The sequence below is a fragment of the Homo sapiens genome, chromosome 1 (genome assembly GCF_000001405.40).
Source record: "Homo sapiens chromosome 1, GRCh38.p14 Primary Assembly".
In the NCBI taxonomy this organism is placed as follows: domain Eukaryota; kingdom Metazoa; phylum Chordata; class Mammalia; order Primates; family Hominidae; genus Homo; species Homo sapiens.
The window spans coordinates 167,499,014-167,518,744 of NC_000001.11; the positions used below are offsets into that span (position 1 = coordinate 167,499,014).

Sequence of the window (19,731 nt, forward strand, 5' to 3'; positions counted from 1 at the left end):
TCTTCTGGTCAACCTAATGAGCAAAATAAAGTCAGCCTGAATTGTCCATCATGGCCTAATCATCACGGAGTGATTGATCAACACAAATGATGACTCCAATCCACTGGTTCTCAACCAGGGGCAGATTTTGCCCCCAGGAAACATTTGGCAACGTCTAAAGATATTTTGAGTTGTCACAACTTGGGGAGTGCTACTGTCATCTAGTGGGTAGAGGTCAGGGATGCTGCTCAACATTCTACAATGCACAGAACAGCCTCCCTGGTGCCCACAGCCACAGAGAATTATCTGGCCCCAGGTGTTTTAGTGCAGAGGTCGAGAAACCCTGCTCCAAGCATTCGATCAAGAGGGACTTGACCCAGCTGGAGACTAACCAAATACCAGAAAGAGCAGCTGTTTTATTTCTGGGAAATTGTTGCTAGGGTTAAACTGTATAGATTTAGCCACGACTGAAGGTGTCCACATCCTGTTAAGCTAGATGGTGGGCATTGTGTATTTTTTTCCAGCTGCCCTTATTCAAGAGTGGCCCCTGGAATTTACTTAGCCTTTCTTTGGGTTAAAATCAGGAATGGAAAATTTAACCTCTAAGAGGAAAACAAACAGAAAATGAAAAGTAGGCGTAATAATGGAAGCTTAGGTGCAAATTTTAGTGCAGGGTATTCCTTCCTGTAAGGTTACTCACCCCACTCCTCCAGGCCACAGATATGCATGCACAGCCTGCCCACATGTAACTGTGCAGAGGGAGAGCTTAGATTTGAATCCAGAAGAATGGAATTCAAACCCCAACTCTACTGATAACCAATCTTGAGCAAATCACTTGCCTTCTTGAAGTTTCAGTTCCTCTGTCAGTAACAGAGGCCATACCCACACATCCCCGAGGGCTGTGGATTTTGCATACAGTAATTTACATAAAAGCACTGGCAAAACTACAAAGTGTGCCATAACTGCTCACCTGACGACAATCACACACACAGAGGGCTTCTCCTCCCTGGGGCACGTGGGTTCTCTTTATTAGATTTTTCCACATTATCACTGCCTATGTAAAGCTTCTCCTGGGTGATATTCTATTTCTTATGCTGCACTGGAGAAATATTCTCTATATCTTGAAATGGAAACGCTGAACCCAACTTATTTTACTCATGACCTAAATGAGATTATTGCTTCCAAGAGGACAATATATCGCACTAAAATGAGAATGCTCAGGATGATTAGGTGGAGAGCATTTATGATGCAGCTTTCCATTCTCCATGTGATGAAAACTTGACATGACCCAATGCTTTATTGTCCTACAGTAATTCCTGTCACTTTTATCCAGACTCATATTGCTCTTTAATTCTAGCCTATTTTCATCTTTCCTTAACAGGACATCAGATCTTGGCTTTCACAATCAACACAGTTTCAAAGGTTATTTATAAAATAGTTTAAAATAAAATATGCCATGCTTTGATTACAACCAGCGCTTCTGGTATGAATTAGAGAGGTGGCCTGTACACATATGTGTTGTTTATTAGCTTTTATCTGATGATCTCAAAGCACTGACATCAATTCTAACACACATGGTTTCTTATAATTACCACCCCCCTACACACACACCCATTTATGCAGGGCAGAATTATTTTGAGGACAAATGAGCTACGTATTGTGATGTGCTGTGAGTTTCTGAGAATAGAAACTCCTATGACTAAACTCTCCATGAACAGAGCAAATCAGAGAATAACAGCAAATGCTTTTATCGCTCAGGCAGCTCAATCACATTTGGTTTTCCATTTCACTCTAGTAAGAGGGTTATCGGCCTTGAGGATACCCCCCAAGAAATGTTTGTGATTTTTGTTTTAAGCTCAGCCCCTGTACCATCTGCTCACTGAGGCCAACTTCCCATCCCAGCTGTGTGGCTGCCTAAGTCAGCCTGGTGCTATGGGATGGGAACAGGCAGAGGTGGGGAGAGGCTTACAGACTCATTTTCAAACAGAGATGGAAAACTGGGAGTCAGAAGAGGTGGAGGTATATATGGACCCAGCCATCCGACTTCTGATCCTATTGTTCTTTTTTTTTTTTTTTTTTTTGACCGAGTTTTGCACTTGTTGCCCAGGCTGGAGTGCAATGGCGCGATCTCGGCTCACCACAACCTCCGCCTCCCGGGTTCAAGCCATTCTCCTGCCTCAGCCTCCCGAGTAGCTGGGATTACAGGCATGCCACCACACCTGGCTAATTTTGTATTTTTTTTTTTCAGTAGAGACGGGGTTTCTCCATGTTGGCCAGGCTGATCTCAAACTCCCGACCTCGGGTGATCCACCCGCCTCGGCCTCCCAAAGTGTTGGGATTACAGGCGTAAGCCACTGCGCCCGGCCTCCTATTGTTCTTAACCAGGGGTCATACATACCCCACCTTCCTGCAATGACAAAAGAAAGTCAAGGTCATCCCTGTACATCTGTCTGGCCTATACATCTGTTTTGTAAACAAGCAGGTCTCACTAGAATTAACTTTTTTCTTAACTAAAACACACTCACACAGTTTTCCCTTGCAATTCAGGGCTGAACCCTTCTCCAGTTCCTCAAATGCTTATTGGCTACAGAAAGCTGCAGAAAGAAATGGTCAATTCCTAGTGTCTCTTTCAAGGAGAACGTATTTGCAGCATTTCTTAACTCAGAACAGAACTGGAGCCACCCACCCCACAGGTGGAGCCCTGGCAGCTGTGACCTGGAAACACAACTGTGTTTGTTCTTCCCTCACCAGCCAAGGAGACCAGAAGGCAGGAGGGGCCAGCCACAGCTGCCACCTTTGCCTCTCCTCTTCTCAGGGTCCGTATGCCACTTCAGACCACTGTATGTGGAGCCGAGATGTCAGAGCTGGAGCAGAGAAGAGGAGCACGCAGGTAGAACTGTCTAAAATCCAAAACAAGCTCTGCCCGCTTGAATTGCCACTCAGATTCATTTCAAGACTACAAAATGTGCAGGCAATGTTTTTCTGAAGGGCAACCCCGGTGCTCCCGAGATGGGAGGCACCCTCCCTTCTGACACGCATTTATTCCATCTTCCGGAGATAAGGAGGGGACAGGGCTGGCTCAGCAACCCCACAATCTCCGTCTGGGCCAGTCATCTCAGCAGGTGCTTGACAGGCAACCAGGCTGGAAGAGAATGCCTCTGCAGTATGCTGGAAGTGTCCTTCCCCTAATGCCACCTAATGGCAAAGCCCTGTGCATTTATTGCATGTGAACGTGTCCTCAACACCCATTGAGCCACGGTGTGGTGCACGGCCATCAGCGTTCAAAACGAATAAATTGAGCCACCCTAGAAACAACTCCCCCAGATAGTCTTGGAAGAAGCTGGGAGGCATATTCTTAGATTTAAGCAAGAAATTACAATGTTGACTCAAATCAGGATTTTTGCAAGGGACTTGTTACACTGTGCTAGGGAAGGTTCACAATCTGTCTGTACCTCTGAGGTACCATCTTTAAAAGGGTGTCTTACATTGAGTTCTGCTAGAAGCTGACCCTGAAACAAAGATTAGAGTTTAGATAGTTTATTTTGAGAGATGATTCCAGAAACCGTTGGTAGGTGTTATGGGTTGAACTGTGTCCCCTCAAAAGATATTGAAGTCCTAACACCCTCTGAATGTCACCTTATTTGGAAATAGGGTGCTTTCAGATTATCAAGTTAAGATGAGGTCATTAGGGTGGGCTCTAATCCAATATGACTGGTGTCCTTATAAAAAGGGAAAAATTGGACACAGAGACAGCCATGCACACACAGGGAGAATGCAGCATGAAAATGAAGGCAGAGATTGGGATGATGCATCTACAAGCCAAGGAACACCAAAGATTGCCAGCAACCACCAGAAGCTGGGGAGAGGCTTGGGACAGATTCTCCTGCACAGCCCTCAGAAGGAACCAACCCTGCAGACACCTTGACTTTGGACTTTTAGCCTTCCGAACTGTGAGCCAATAAGGTTTTGCTCCTTAAACCACTCAGTTTGTGGCACTTTGTTAAGGCAGCCCTAGGAAATGAATACAGTAAGAACATGGGAAGTGAGGCAGGTGAAGGAAGGAATCATTATGAGGTTAGCTACTGTGGTTAACAACTGGAACTTCATCCTGCTGGCAAGTCCCAGGAAACTGTGGAACAGCTACCTCAGCCTTACACAGGAGGGGTGGCAGCTTGCGTCTGCTCCTGCCGGTATTCAAAATGAACCGACTTTAGGAGGTCCCCCTGGGGCATTTGTCATCAGGCTGAGGCCATGCCCTGAATTGCAAAGTTTCCTCCTCCTCCTTTTTGCATTAAATCCTACCCATTCATATCCTACCTCCCAGGATGCTTTCCTTTAATCCTCTAGCCCAGCTTTCTCATAACTTCCTCTTAGAGCCCTCACTCTGTATTCTGCAGGTCACTTAATAGGTGTTCCCTGAAAAACCAGATGCCAAGAGGGGTGAAATTAATTTCCATTGCATTGCATAACTCTATCTTCCTCCCTTCCCCCTGGGAACGTGTAATGCACATTTGCAGACAGAAGTTTTGGAAAAGTCCTGCACTTAAACAACAACAAACAAAACCCTTCTTCAGTGCACTTAAACTACTGTTTCCAAAATGTACATTCCTTCTTTTTTGTAGTATAGTATTAACATCTTGCTGAACATAGATTGGGGAAGAGTGCCTTTGTTATAAACGTCACTGAACACATTGTTTAGGAGCCAGGTCCTTGGGACAAGGAAGGGTGACACATCTGAGCAGGTGGCAACAGGGTCTGCCTGGGACCAGGAACCATGGGGCCAGGTGAGGACTTGGCCTGGAGGAGGGGTAGGCTACCGGTTAGGGTGCCAAAGGCCATGCCCCCCTACCCCCGCCTCTTCATCTAGCCTGAGGGTGGGAAGTGAGTTTCAGGGATGGGGTAGGGATTAGAGTCACGGCTGGTGTTTCCTGGTTTTCTGGGGCAGAAAATCCTATTCCTACCACCAGATCTTCCCTTTGCTAATTCCCTTCTCCATGTGGCAGACAAACCTCAACTCCTCCCTCCAAGTCCGTGACAAGCAAATATGAGGGAGACCCTTACCTCTGGGCTCCCGGGGTGCTGTGTATAGGCAATGCGGTTCATGGCGGGGGGAGCGAGGGCAGGCTGCCTGGGGCCAAAGGCTGGCTGTGCTCCTGCTAGCCATGGACCCCCAGGGCTGAATTCCCCACCTATCAAGTGGGGACATCAATAAAAGTGCCACAGGATTAGTTGACCTAATGCATGCAAACAGCACATAAAACAAGCCCCGGCATCACAAGTGTTCACAGTTACCACCCCTCTATCACTTTACCAGCCAGGCATATCCCTCTCCTCTAGAAATGTGAGTACTTTGAGAGCAGCAACTGTAATGCAGCCGCTGACATACAATCGCTTGCTCAGAAAATACACTGAAAGTGAATTAATGCGCAGCTATGTTCTGCATTTTATTTCTATCTCTGATAATATTTCTGACGATGAAATGTATGATTAAAACAGGCACTCTTCACTAACAGGAAAATTACTTGTTTTTCTCTCATTGGTTTTAGTCTTCTCTCCCCAGCTGGCATAGCCTAACAGGACACACCATCACTAGTAAAGGCTAGTTTGCCTGCCAAGGCCTAAGATCAGTGGGTCACTGTCCTTATGGTTACCATGGTCCTGGACAGTCCCAGCAGAGAAGCAGAGATGCCATTGATTTATTGGCACAAAGAGGCATTTATCTGCCTCTCCTTGTCATTAACGGGACGCTAGGGCAGTGGGGCAGTGGGAATCTCAGTTAGAATGGGCTTCATTAAAAAGCCCTTAAAAGGAAACCCTTCTAAAACCTAGCGATCAATCTTGCCTACCTTTTGGGATCTCATCCGTTGGTGAACAACTGACAGGAAAATCTGGGCACGTCTCTATTTTTGAAAAGTTAATATATCTGTCGATTCTACAAAAATCCAATAAATGAAAATTCATACTCATGAAAACAAGTAGATTAGAAGAAGAGTCCTCACAATACCAAATAACTCACGACAGCTTTTCTTTAAATATTCTACCTATATTTACATATTATTATAATATTCTCTTGCACAAAACCTTCCAAGGGCTTCCTCTGGTGAGTGAAGATTCCCTTGTACATAGCTGACATTTTCTTTTCTTTTTCTTTTTTTAGAGACAGGGTCTTGCTCTGTCTCCCAGCCTAGACTGCAGTGGTACGATCATAGCTCACTGCAGCCTGGAACTCCTGGGCTCAAGCAATCCTCCTGCCTCAGCCTCCTGAGTAGCTTTTTTTGTTGTTGTTGTTGTTGAGATACGGTTTACATACCATAAGACATTGTCTGAGCCTAGATATACTAATAATACATGGTATTTTTGTCACTTCTTCACTCATTAAACTTTTACTGAACATCTTTATAGACTAAAAGCACTCTGGCTAAATTTACTTGTATGTGTTTGCATGTATGTGTGTGTCTATAGCTTTCTTGCTGCCTGCCTGCCTGCCTGCTTCGTTTCTGAAAGGATTCAGGTGGAAGGCTAAATTCATCTTCTCTGGAAGGCAGCATGAGTGCAGCTCATGTGGGGCAAGGCACAAGGGCTGCCCCTCGCCCTCCGGCAGCCTGTTGCCCAGCAGGTAGGCAGGTCAGGGCCTATGGCACAACAGGGCAAAAAATCTAACAACAATGGCCACTTGGCCTGCAGAAGCTGGAGTGGAGGGAGACCAAGGTAGGCTTCTCAGCAGCACTGACAGCTATCTGGTAGGGGGAGTGGGGAGGGGTTTCCTCACTGTGGGGATGATCCAATGCCTTTTTGTACCCCCTGAAACAGTTGAAAGCCATCCCCTTCATGGACAGGATGAGCTAAGGTGGCCCAGCCACCTGCAGCTCTTTTGTGGCTGTCATTCTAGTGTAGGGTCTCATCACACACACCTGAGACCCAAGTGGCTGGCTCCAGAAGTGCCATTTACTTATAACAGGGCAGCTTGTCAGCCCAGAGGACAGGCAGCTAGAGCAAGAATCAAAAGTCCTGGGTTTAAGGGCTGAATTTGCCATTTGCTTATGACATGGCAATTTCTTGATCTGTATTATTTTTCTCTAGGGCCATCATTTCTCCCCTGGTAAAATCCAGAAGTGGAACTTGAAGGTATCTATAATACTTTCCAGGTCAAATATTCCGAGATTCTGACATACCAGCCCAGTCCCACTCTGGTCACAGAAAATCTTCCCAGAGAGACGCCATCTTTCTTTTTTCTTTTCTTTTCTTTTCTTTTCCTTTTCTTTTCTTTTCTTTTCTTTTCCTTTTCTTTTCTTTTCTTTTTTCTTTTCTTTTCCTTTCCTTTCTTTTCTTTTCTTTTTTCTTTCTCCTCTCCCTCCCCTCCCCTCCCCTTCCCTTTCTTTTTCTCTCACTCTGTTGTCCAGGCTAAAGTGCAGTAGTATTATCACGGCTCACTGCAACCTCCGCCTCCCAGGCTCAAGCATTTCTCCCACCTCAACCTCCCAAATAGCTGAGACTACAGGGGGGTGTCACCGTGCCCAGCGAATATTTTCTCTCTCTCTCTTTTTTATTTTTTTTGTATTTTAGAAGAGACAGGTTTTTGCTATGTTGCCAAGGCTTGCTGTCTACTCTTCTTATCACTGAAGGTAGAACTAAGTGGCAGCAACCCTAACCCCTACCCCAGCCTAATCACGATATTGCCACAGGCCACTTCTGACTACAAAGTAGCTACACTTTACATGAGAGATGCATTCCTAAAGACTTTGCAAAATTCTGATTAATTTATCATAGGAATAAATGTAAAATCTTACATTATCTTGAATACTACAAATAGTGAGACCTTATGAATTTTTAGATTGCATTTTTTTCAAATTTACATAATTCAGAACTCCATTAAATATGGCTTATTGTATGTTCCCTCTGATTTTTTTTTTTTTTTTTTTTTTGAGATGGAGTCTTGCTCTGTCGCCCAGGCTGGAGTGCAATGGTGTGATCTTGGCTCACGGCAACCCCTGCATCCCAGGTTCAAGTGATTCTCCTGCCTCAGCCTCCTGAGTAGCTGGGACTACAGGAGCACACCACCATGCCCAGCTAATTTTGTTGTTTGTTTGTTTTTGTTTTTGTATTTTTAGTAGAGATGTGGTTTTGCCATGTTGGCCAGGTTGATCTCAAACTCCGGACCCTGGGTGATCCACCTGCCTTGGCCTCCCAAAGTTCTGAGATTACAGGTGTAAGCCACCACGCCTGGCCTGAATTTTTTTTTTTTTTAACCTTCAAAGAGAAGGAATGGTGATTGGAGAGAGAGATGATGACCCAGGGTCAAAGTTGGTAGAGAAAGACCATGGGTTTGAAGGACTCTACAGGGAAAACATGGAGAGCCAGGTGAACCAGGCCTCTTTTCTGACCCCGTAGAGAGGACCCAGCAACTCAATACTGTCTTCCTTTGTTGATCATTCCACATAGAATTTTAGATGGTTGGCCAATTAGAAGGTTAGATTTCTATTCTTTTCTTTCTTAACTGAAATTATTCCAGACTTGAATGCTGCTATTAAATGTTCAACTCCAAATTTAAAAATCTCTAAATAGGCAGCGTGGTGGCTTATTCCTGTAATCCCAGCACTTTGGGAGGCCAAGGCTGGTGGATTATATGAGCCCAGGAGTTTCCAAGGCCAGCCAGGGCAACGTAGTGAGAACCTGTATCTACAAAAAAAGAAAAAATTAGTCAGGCATGATGGTGCACCCCTATGGTTCCAATGGCTCAGGAGGCTGAAGTGGTAGGATTGCTTGAGCCCAGGATTTTGAGGCTGCAGTGAGCTGTGATCACACCCCTGCACTCCAGCCTGAGTGAAGAAGGGAGACCCTATCTTAAAAAAAAAAAAATCCCTAAATAGCAAATTCTCTCTATCTCTTGGCATATAGGAGCCATTTTGTGCTCTTCAAAATGGCTGACAGGAATTTTCTGAGGAAGCTATGGTCTGAAACCAAACGAGGAATTAGGTCAGCTTCAAGTCTGAGACTTTGTGTTTACAGCCATAGCTAAAAACTAACAGATGTGTCTTCCAAACCGACAAAATCAAGAAATTGTCATGAAGATCAAAAATGGCTTCCAAAATCTTACCCTCCGTGTCCTCCCCACCAGCCCCTTTGGACTGCAAGAGCTTGTGGCTATAACTCTATTCACAGCCCATTTCTGGTTTCCAAGTAGCTCCCTTTCCAACAAGAGATTACAAAGCTTTGAAAATTAGAGGCACCCCACCACTCCCACCCCAAAGAGCTATTGCGCGACGAGATGCTCCGTTGAAATGGAAGGAGTTTGCTTTATAGCAGCCTCCCTCATGGAATTATAGATGGGAACATTTAACAATACAGCATTTGCAATGGGCAGGTGAGAGCTGGCTAAGTTTTTAAAGGGGATTTCACAGGCCAGGTCAGCAGGGAGATGGATGGGTGAGCGATGGTGGATACAATTATTTGACTTTCTGAGCTGTTCTTTTGAAGCCTCTATGTTTAATAGAAAGAAAAAGGATAATCCTCTTTGCCAACCTTTTGTAGCTCAATCTTTATTGTTCCCAATGAAACCCAAAGAAAACGGACAAGATTCATTTTGTCCAGAAAGCATTTGTGTATTTTATGTAGGTCTGGGCTTTGAAGTGTTGATAGTTAAGTGGGAGAAAAGACAAAGATTTCTCTCGACTCTGTGGAAATCAAAGGAGGAATTTCTGAAGCTCTCTTGGCTGACTCAAAAGTCCTGGGTGGTATCCTCCATATATGCTTCCTTTGCTACTAAACTCAGCATGGAAATTAGCACAGGCCCCACACAATGATGAAAATTAGATGAGACCATAAAGAAGTGAGCCTGAAGACAAATTTAGACTTTTTTGCAAAAATTGAGAACATGGTTTCCGGGACCAGGGACACTTTCTTGTGCTTATGGGCTCTCAATCATTTAACCTTCATCTTCAAAACACTGGCCTGGCCAGTGGGCTGGTTGAGCCAACCATCTACAGGACTGTTGGTTTGATTTGGGGCACATGAGAGGTGCTTGGTAAATATTTACTCAATTGGTAAGTCAAGTGGCCTGTCAGATGGTTTAAATAATCAGATATTAAAAATCATGGCTGGGCGCGGTGGCTCATGCCTATAATCCCAGCACTTTGGGAGGCCGAGGCAGGTGGATCACTTGAGGTCGGGAGTTTGAGACCAGCCTGACCAACATGGAGAAACCCTGTCTCTACTAAAAATACAAAATTAGCCGGGTGTGTTGGCACATGCCTGTAATCCCAGCTACACAGGAGGCTGAGGCAGGAGAATCACTTGAACCCAGGATGGGGGTTGTGGTGAGCCGAGATCGCGCCATTGCACTCCAGCCTAGTCAACAAGAGCGAAGCGAAACTCTGTCTCAAAAAAAAAAAAAAAAAAAAAGAAAAGAAAAGAAATCATTATCCATCTGGTTATCTTGATGGGCAAAGTAGGTCATTGGGAACCACCTTATTGGATTGTTTGCCAACCTATTCCGAGGGTGAAAAAAAAAGAAGATTAAATGCGTGTTTGCCTATTTTAGCCAAAATACATAGGATGGACACTGTGGGAAGAACTGGTGAGAATTTGGGGAGCTGTTGACATTTTCCGCTGACAGATAAATGTTCCTGAAACTATCTGGGTGCCGAGTCTCTTCTCTGGGAACGCCTCACTCTAGGGAACTATTTCTGTTGGGTTTTTGACCCTGAATTCTGAGAACAACAATTTTCCACCTGCTTGTGTCACTTTAACGCTGGTAACAATGTCAACAGTGGGTCTGGGAGATCCCCATACATCTGGGCTTAGAATTAAGGGGTGAACAGGGTTTCCGCAGGTGGGGGATGGAGTGGCGTCTGCATTCTAAGTCGGGAGAATTGAGAGGAAGGAAGCTACAAAAAAGGAAAGACCCCAGGCTTACTTGGAAGATGAGAGACCTCTGACGGGAGTCAGGCCAGACCAACCTGAAAAGTCTATGCAGCTATGAAGAAGCCACTCACACCTCTCCATGATCCGACAGAGGTTTTCTTGTCTCCCTTCTCCACAGAATCCCTGGAACATGATCTGTGACATCTCTGACTTTCTGCTCACCTACTCAGAACCCAGACTGCCAGCCCTGAGTTGAAGTAATGTTTGCCCTTCCTTCTATGGAGCTGTCCTGCTGCCACCAAACTCCTCCTAAACACACACACCATACATACAAAATCACTCACTGCTGCACATAAAAACACATCCCTGCAGATGCAGGCACACATCCATCAGCATACAGGTGAGCATACAGTGCACCACACACACCAACACATGCACACCTGCACATGCATGTCAGGACACACCTACAAACACACAGCACCACATGCGCCAGCATATGCCCACAGGGGGCACAGACACCTGCAACCACCAGAGCCTATGGGTAAATACATGCTGGCGTGCACATTGCCAACACCCACACTGACCTGCAACCCCTGGGGCTTGGGCTCAGGCTTTTCACGTGATGGGTCACCTGGCTCAGCTGCCTTCTCCCTGCAGCAGGCAGCTCAGGCCAGTAAACCCAGGGGAACAGGTTGCAACCTCTACCCCCTCCCCCAGCCTGTCTTTTCTACTCTTTCCCCTATCATACTTCTCTCCCATCATGCCCAGCCCAGATGATGAAAGGGCAGGTCTAACTGAGGGCTGTCATTCACATTCTGTCTTGGAGCCAGTACAATTTTGCATGGTGGGGAATTAGCAAAATACAAGAAGACACAGTAGACTCTAGTATCTACAGCAAAAGAGGGGGGTAGGGGTTTGTTAATCTTAAATGGTGATGTTGGTTTCCATTCTGAGCCCTCCTCCCCACCTGCCATGGCTTGGCAAAGGCAACAGCACCTACAGCCCATCACAGACATCCTGCTGCAGCACTTGAATACTTCCCCTCTTCCCAACCCTCCTCTCAGCCAGCTTTGGGGGTGGCCCACTAAGAGTCTCAGATATTCACATCTCCAGCTGTTTAATGCTTCATGCATTTGTTCTGAGCACCAGAAAACCATCTTTTGCTTTGCTCCAGTCAACAGCACAAGGATTTGCACTACCTGCACCGAGCCTGCAGGTGAACCCCAGGCTAAAATATGACGTAAATAATTGTGAATAGATTATAGACATTTGTCATTCAAAGATAACTCTCCCAGTCCTGGAGGAGTTAGTGAAAAAACAAATCTCAATTCAGAGTCTGTGCGTGACGGTGTGCTGTTCTTTTAGAGAATCTCATACACATAAAACCTTTCACACCATATGGAGATCCACTCTTACCAAGCAGATTAATTACAGGCAATTTATTCAGGGCAAAACCTCTCAAATATGATTTAATTTACATTTTACTTATAACCTCTGCATACAGTGGGGTGGTGAGCGGTGTGCATACCTGCACACACAGGAGTGGGTTGAACTGCAAATTGAGGCGCATCCCTCTAAGGAAGTTCCAGAATAGATGCATTTTCTGAGAGTAAAATGGAAACTATGGATTTATCAGCTTTGGAGAAAATGTAAGTTCTCCATTTAGAACCATCATAATACGTTCTAGAAAAACATATAGTTCTATATTAATAACCTAATATTCATACTCAGCAGAAAATGTATATTAAATGAGAATATTCAGCATCAAAATAATTATTTTTTACTGTAAAAATTGAGAGGAAAAGAGTAAGTGCTTAGTAAGGGGAATACCTTTAGAAGTAGGCTTCAGAATCCAGTCTTTGGGTATATGATGGTGTACGGACCTGGGCGAGCGGCTGCACACTGTTCAAGGTGCAGACCCTGTACGAGGGCCCCGAGAAACCATGTTTGAGGCCTGGTTCTACTCGTAGGCAAGTCACCAGACCTACGAGCCTCACTTTCTTCATTTACGAGAAGAGATAGATCCTGCTGCTTTTTCTGCTATTTGCCATAGGATGGTTATGAGGATCCAGTAAACAAAGGCATGGAAACTCATTTTGCAACTGTAAAGGGATGGCTGCACTCAGAGAACGGCGGTCTGGACTGGCAAGGGTCCTGCTTGTCTTTGTTCTAATGCTTTCTATTTATTTTTTTCTCCTTGAGCCTGAAAATTAGTTGCTGAGTAGCACAAATCAAAACAGGCAAGCAAAGTGGACAGTGCAAACGCCTAACATTTTCACCACTGCAATTTGGCTGCTTCGGGCAGTAATTTGCTTTCTCTTCAAGTCTGTTCTCACCAACCGAAGTCCTTGCACGGCCCCCAATAAATCTGCAGCCGACGCACAAGCAGAAGGGATGGACTTTGTCCTTGGATTTTTCACAGCAGAGGCTCCCACTTAGAATGTTAAAAATATTGTGGTAAGGTGAGAGCCCAGATTTAAAAAGTATTTGGAGAGGCAAGGAAGAAGGAAGTTCAGGCTCTGAATTCTGAGAGCCAATACCTGTGGGGTGGGGTAAGGATCGGGGGCTGAGTCATTAAATGTTCTTTAAAACTTTGTAATTTCAAGACCACACACAACTCATTTTGTAGCTAAAAGGGATGTTCAATCCTCTCATAATTTATCTCACAGATGCTAAAACTAAAGCCTAGAGAGAAATTTCTGCCCAAGTATACACTGCAATGTAATGACAGAGGAAGAAAAAAAGCATGTCAGTCCAGTGTTCCCCCATTATTGCATTGGGAAAATGATATTCTATTTTGCAGATTGGGAAACTGAGGCACACATGCTAATGGTTCTGGCTTTCCAAGTGCCTTTTGTGTTTAGGCACTTCCGAATCAGATCTCCACTCCACAGTCCCCTGCGTGAAGAGGCACCATTGCCGCCATCTCACAGAGGAAGAACAGGGCTCTGAGGTCGGGAGGGGAAGGCGGCTCAGGACTTCTGGCTCCAGAGCCTCCTCTCCTTCCACCATAGTGCCTGCTCCAGAGGAGACACAAAGGCTTGGAGATGGTAACAGAGAGTTAGAGAAACATTTTCTTTCCTTGATGGGATTGTTTTCAACAGAAGTCTAGAGCATCCTGCAAAATGCTGTTTTACTTTAACCTATTCTTTCAAATGTCATTCCTGGATTTGCCCAAGAAAGTAACAAAAGCTACATATGTAAAGATTTTCTTGTAGGATTAGCTAAAATAACAAAAATCAGAAATAGTCCAAATGTACAACAATAAGGAAATAGTGAAGAAAATACGATGCATGGATGCTATGGAAGCTTACATAGCAATTAAAAACAATCACAAAGGCTAAACATGAAAACAATGCTTACAATAAAATATTAAGAAAAAAAGCACTTGAAACTTTTTAATGATATGTTTTATGTTTTGATTATGATATGACTTATGTTTTTATGTTAACTATAAAAAGATAGTAAAATTTTTTACACTTGTAAAAAATGTTGGATTGGAATATAAAGAAGTGAGAATGCAATATTATTGGGCTGGCTTGGTAGGAATTTTGAAAAAAATTTAATTAAATTTTAACTTCCGTCAGTGATTTTTATATCTTTACTAAAATATCTCAAACTAAGAGAACAGAAAAATGTTGGCTACCTGAAATATTTATTTAGTAACCTGGATCAAACCAGACTAATAGTAAGTATCTTGCTTTTTTTTCTTTCTATATTTTGAGGAAACTGGGTGATTGGATACTGTGGTTTATACTATAATCCAGTCTTTTGCTACCTGATGCCTTTCATTAGTTTATTTTTAGTTCATTAGTTAACAATCTCCAACAGTGTTAGCCTTGCTTATTTTCCGCTTTCCTCCGGTGTTAAAGCCTAATCAGAAAAAATGAGCATATTTCTTTATTTTTAGTTATAATGTTAGTTGAATCATATGAAATTATCCTTTTTGTAGATCTGAAATAAACAAATAGTGGAAATTTCATATGGTCCAACCAGAAAACTTTAATAATGGCAGGGTTTTATCTTAAACCATCCTTACAACTCATTTCAAATAATTCTAATCACTCAAACTGCCCTGTCCCCTCCACTGGTTTAATTTCTGGTTTTTGTTTTGTTTTTAAAATAACATTGTTTAATACTACGTTCTCTAGAGGAAAGGTCCAAACAATGCCAATTCAATATACCCACCAAATAAACCATTAAAGTTAATTTAATCGTATGAAAACATCTAGATTTCCTTCATTCACTCACCTTTTAATTCATTCAACAATTCTTATTTTATTTTATTTTATTTATTTTTTTGAGATGGAATCTTGCTCTGTCGCCCAGGCTGGAGTGCAGTGGTACGATCTCAGCTCACTGCAACCTCCGCCTCCCGGGTTCAAGGGATTCTCCTGCCTCAGCCTCCCAAGTAGTTGGGACTACAGGCACGTGCCACCATGCCCAGTTAATTTTTTGCATTTTTTAGTGGAGATGGGGTTTCACCACATTGGCCAGGCTGGTCTCAAATTCCTGACCTCAGGTGATCCACCCGTCTCGGCCTCCCAGAGTGCATTCAACAATTCTTATTGATAATTATTGCACATTGACTCTGCTCCAGGTACCATGCTAAGTGCTGGGTAGAGCTGTGAGCGTGACAGGGGCGTCTTTGTTTTCAGGGAACTTAAAGTTGTTTTTTAGACCGGAAGACATACTATGTACATGCGCTGACTAAAGCGATCATTTTGTTTTGATTAACAGGTCTAATGACCGGTTTAATTTTTTTTTTTAACCATATTGAATGTTTGTTCAAAGTGACGAACACCATCACTTTAGTGTTAATAAAAATTAGCCTTGGCCGAAGCAGAGCTAAGAAATTTATTTTGAACTATTTCCGGTATTTATTAAATCAATTATCTGACCTATATAAGGTCCTAAGCCTTAGATAAATAAGGCTTGGGAGAAACGATTCCCAAAGTGCGTGTTTGGACAACTCTAATCTAAGAGAGTTCCCTCAGGGCAACTGGACCCTTCTAAGTAAAGCACAAGACACAATGCTGGGTAACTTTTGACTGGAAAAGTATATATCCAACAATAATTACATGTATTTTTTTAAAGAACAAAAGCAAAAATACAAAGAATTTAAAATTAAATACAGCAGTGGTTATTCACCTAAGCCAGAGCTCCCCAGGACCGTTTCTGGGGGATGCTTAGCAGAAGCAGATGTGATCTCTAGGCTAGTAAGCCTGAGAAACGCTAAAATTGAAAAATGAAATAGCTCATTTGGATGAGCAGAGCTAGGCGATTGGAGGGCGAAACAATCTGATGGTGAAAATGCCATTGATGAAAAATTTGTACTGGTATCACTTAAAAGCTTGCCTCACATTCACCTCCCAGCAATTTTAGCAAAGATTTAGTGTTCAAGAAGTTTGCATTTAGATACTCAGTCGCTGTGCACCCACAATAGCCCTTTGGCTTCAGAATCTAGGTGGCCACCCGGACCAGTGATGACTGGGTGGATTTTGTTTCTGATTCCTTTCAAAGTAATACTTTGAAAAACTTTTGTCTATGAGCCTTATCTAAGATAGCTAAAATGTCAGTCTCCACAGAGGCAAAGTAAGTGGCACTGAGAAGTAAAAAAATCCAGCCAATCCCCCTGCCCCCTATTTGTGGAAATGGGGCACAGCCCCCATCTTGCATATATTTTTTCAGACATGTTTTTACTTCGGGAGAATATTCCCCTACAGAGTAAGTATCTTTAAAAAATGAAAATGGTGGATGTAACAGTCATCCTATGACCAGCCAGAGCTTTGCTGCTTTTTCACTATCGGGCCTACCTCTGCAATCATTGTTATGTTTCTGTGCTGGTATGGGTGTGCCCAGAAATCAGAAGAGGGATGAGTTGGATTGCAACAGATGGAGAAAATGCCCACTGCTGCTTTATAACATATTGAAAGCAAATGAAGAATCCCAGCCATGGGTTTCCATCTCCTGTTTTGAGAACAAGAAGACAGTCCGAGATGTAATAATAGTAATAGTAAATACAATGTTTACTTATTGGCTGTCTACTATGTATTGGACACATTACATTACTTCTCATTGTCACATCTCTGCAAAGAAGGTATTACAAGTCTTTCTTTAGAGGTGAGAAAACTGAGGCCCAGAGAGGTTAAGTAACTTGCCTAAGGTTGCACAGCTAGGAAGCGGCAGCACTGGGACACCACCTGAAATTAGCCTGGCTCTTTCTACCACGTCCAGCCACCTTCCTAAAAGCAGAGCCACTCACAAGCCTGGAAGCTTTGCATTCCCCAAGGCTGCATGTCAGAGCTCCATCTCCTCACTGATAAAAGACAAACACCACACTGACCGCTGGGTGCATTCTTGGCTACTGCAGAGTAGGGAGTTAGAGGCACTGAGGGCTCTGCAGGCACAAGTGTGCCCATGCCACTAGGCACGCCATCTTAGGATCTTCTGGCCTCAAGCCCTGGTGACTGTCTTGGTAGATTCTCTCTCAGGGAGGCCTCCTCATGTGGACAGACCAGGTCATCATTTGCTTTGATCCTAATAATCTGGGCATTTCCAAAGAAATGCAAATGCAACAGCTTAGTAAAAAGTAGACATTTTAAAAGGGATGTATGCAATGGGTCACTTAACTGAGCAAGAAAAGAGAGAAGACCTGACTGAAATTCTATGTGCGGCCTTTCCTCCGGGGAGACTGTGGAGGTGTCCCCTCAGGCAGCAAAAGCACCATCGCAGCCCTCGGTGTCAAGGCCTCTCTGAGTCGCGCTTTGCCTTACCGTACCTCGTTTCTGGGCTAGGATATTTTGAAACACTTTTGTCTATTAGCTTTATCTAAAATAGCTAAAATATCAGTCTCCATAGAGGCAAAGTAAGTGGCACTGAGAAGCAAAAAATCCAGCCAATGTGCAGTTTTCTCCTCCTGCCCCCTATTTGTGGAAATGAGGCACGGCCCCCATCTTGTCTGCTGGGTGGGGTTCTGTTTACCACGCTTGGCAGCCACCGCCACCCAACAATCTTTCATTTTTCTTTCTAACTTCACTTTGCCCCTACCTTGGTCTCTCCAAGCCGAACACAAATGGACCAGTGAGGAAACTGCAGGTAAAGACCCTGAAAGGTTATATGAGCTCCCTGGTGTGGTGTCTCAAGCCTGAAGCTCAGAGGCTGGAGCTATTGCCCCTGGCTGTCTCCCCTGAAGTCACTAAATTCCAGCGTTCTGGGTCCCCTTGTCCCCAGCACACAAGGATGGGCTGCTCTGAGCAAGCTCAGGCACCCTCACTCTGCCACACTGTGTGTGTGACTTAGACCCCACAAGGCTTTTCTGAGAAAACAGCTGTGACCTGACAGAAACCCCTGCAGCTGCACGGGCCTCAGAATCCCCCGAGGCGCTGGCCCGGGCTGTGCCTGGCTCCCTGGTGGGAGCAGAAGTGCCCATGGCCTCTCCTGCCCTCCCAACAGGGCCCCTAAACAAATTCCCACACCCAGGTGAGTTACCAGGAGCGATCAGGTGGGCCGAGGACATTTGCTTGCTTCACCTTCCCTGTTTCTTTAGATTGAAATTCAGCCTGCCCCACTTCTCAGGAAGATGCCACGAGGCTGATCCCCCTGAGCAGTTTGTCCTGTCCTCTTTTCACTGGTTTTCTTCCTCATTACCTGGGCTAGAAAACATGGTGGAAGCTAAAGGCTTGCAGCAAAGCTGGGCTCCCACGATCGGGAATGAGGTGAGGAGCAAGCACTCTTGTTGGCTGGGCGCTGCTCGTGGTGGTGACTTAACCAGGCACATCGTCTCATCTGCCCCGTGTTCTGTCAATGCCGGGCCCTCTGGCTGGGCTAGATGGCCGCCTAAGGGGCAGGCTGGGGTGAGTCACGGAGCCTGGGATGGTGCGTCACCCGGCAGTCCCAGGCGTGGGTGTGGGGACAGCCATGACAAGGCTGAGCCTAGACACGGACGCTTGGCCATGAGGTGGCGAAGGCGCTGTGGAGGCTGCCACCCGGTGCTTCCTGCCTGTGCCCCTCTCCTCCTTGGTTACCCCACTTACTCCCGGGCCCATTGGAGTGTTTCAGGCCATGACCTTGACTGACCAACAAAATCTTCTTTGTTGGCAAAGGAAGAAAGAAAGGGGCTGAGTGACGGAGCCAGCCAGAGGGTGAAAGAAGCTGAAGGGACTAGAACGTCGCAGCACGAAACATGGCCTGGCTGACATTTTCCGATCCTGTCCAGCTTCTGTGAAACACTCCCTCTCCGTTTCTCTACCCTGGGCCTGCCTCGGTTGCTCTCTTGCTTCCTTCTTCCTTCCTCTCTTATCACTCGAAAAATCTGTACCTGGAGGAGCTGTGTATTCTAGCAGCTGGCTCTGAACTGATGCCCAACTCGGCTGTGACGGAGCAGATGCCAGCACCGGGCCGGACCCCTCACTGCTCACTTGCCCATTGATTTGAGGAGGGCAGGATTTGAAGGAGACCCCAGCCCCTCACCACCCTCCACTACCCACACCCACTCCCCTACACATACACAAAGAGTTTCTAGAAGTTCCCTGCCGTCGACACGTCGGCCCTACCTGTAATCGGCAACTGTGCCTGCAGGATGGCCGCGGTGAAAAGCGCCTTCCACTTCATCTTGTCCTTTCCCTCAGAAAGAGGCTGGGAGGCAGAGGCTGAGGCAGCGGTGGCCGGGACGGTTAGGAGAAAAGGAGTCTCTGCTGGTTTTATTCTGCAGCTACCTCCCCAGGAAGTGGAGGACTGTGGGGCCTTTGAGAAAGCACCTGCCGACAGGGCCAAGAAATTCGCACTCCCCCTTTCGGTTCACAGGCAGGAAGCCCTGGAGGTTTGAGGGTTTGGGGTGTGTGTATGTATCTGTCTGTCTGAATTTTGCTTTTTCTCTCATTTGACCATTGT

The 19,731-nt window shown here is 45.1% G+C and overlaps 1 protein-coding gene across 6 annotated transcripts in view, besides 4 other annotated features; it reads right to left on the bottom strand.

Annotated features, from left to right (window-relative positions):
• The window catches only part of CD247 (CD247 molecule), an 87,890-nt gene extending 68,374 nt beyond the window's left edge, over positions 1–19,516 (bottom strand). For all 6 annotated transcript variants that reach the window (NM_000734.4, NM_198053.3, XM_011510145.2 and 3 more), the window contains exon 1: positions 19,395–19,516. In NM_000734.4, coding sequence (NP_000725.1) covers positions 19,395–19,452 — 58 coding nt within the window. In that variant the 5' untranslated portion in view covers positions 19,453–19,516. The remainder of the gene's footprint in view (positions 1–19,394) is intronic.
• Positions 4,490–4,990: an enhancer, noted in NCBI's record as "H3K4me1 hESC enhancer chr1:167472740-167473240 (GRCh37/hg19 assembly coordinates)". NCBI's record gives its function as "activates a minimal SCP1, AML or CMV promoter by ChIP-STARR-seq in naive H9 embryonic stem cells {active_cell/tissue: H9 hESC(naive)}" and the evidence as "EXISTENCE:reporter gene assay evidence [ECO:0000049][PMID:30033119]".
• Positions 17,913–18,876: an enhancer, noted in NCBI's record as "H3K4me1 hESC enhancer chr1:167486163-167487126 (GRCh37/hg19 assembly coordinates)". NCBI's record gives its function as "activates a minimal SCP1, AML or CMV promoter by ChIP-STARR-seq in naive H9 embryonic stem cells {active_cell/tissue: H9 hESC(naive)}" and the evidence as "EXISTENCE:reporter gene assay evidence [ECO:0000049][PMID:30033119]".
• Positions 17,913–19,347: a biological region, named in NCBI's record as "P300/CBP strongly-dependent group 1 enhancer GRCh37_chr1:167486398-167487597".
• Positions 18,148–19,347: an enhancer, noted in NCBI's record as "P300/CBP strongly-dependent group 1 enhancer chr1:167486398-167487597 (GRCh37/hg19 assembly coordinates)". NCBI's record gives its function as "activates an origin of replication core promoter dependent on BRD2, BRD4, P300/CBP, MED14 and CDK7 cofactors, with strong dependence on P300/CBP, by STARR-seq in HCT116 cells {active_cell/tissue: HCT116}" and the evidence as "EXISTENCE:reporter gene assay evidence [ECO:0000049][PMID:35650434]".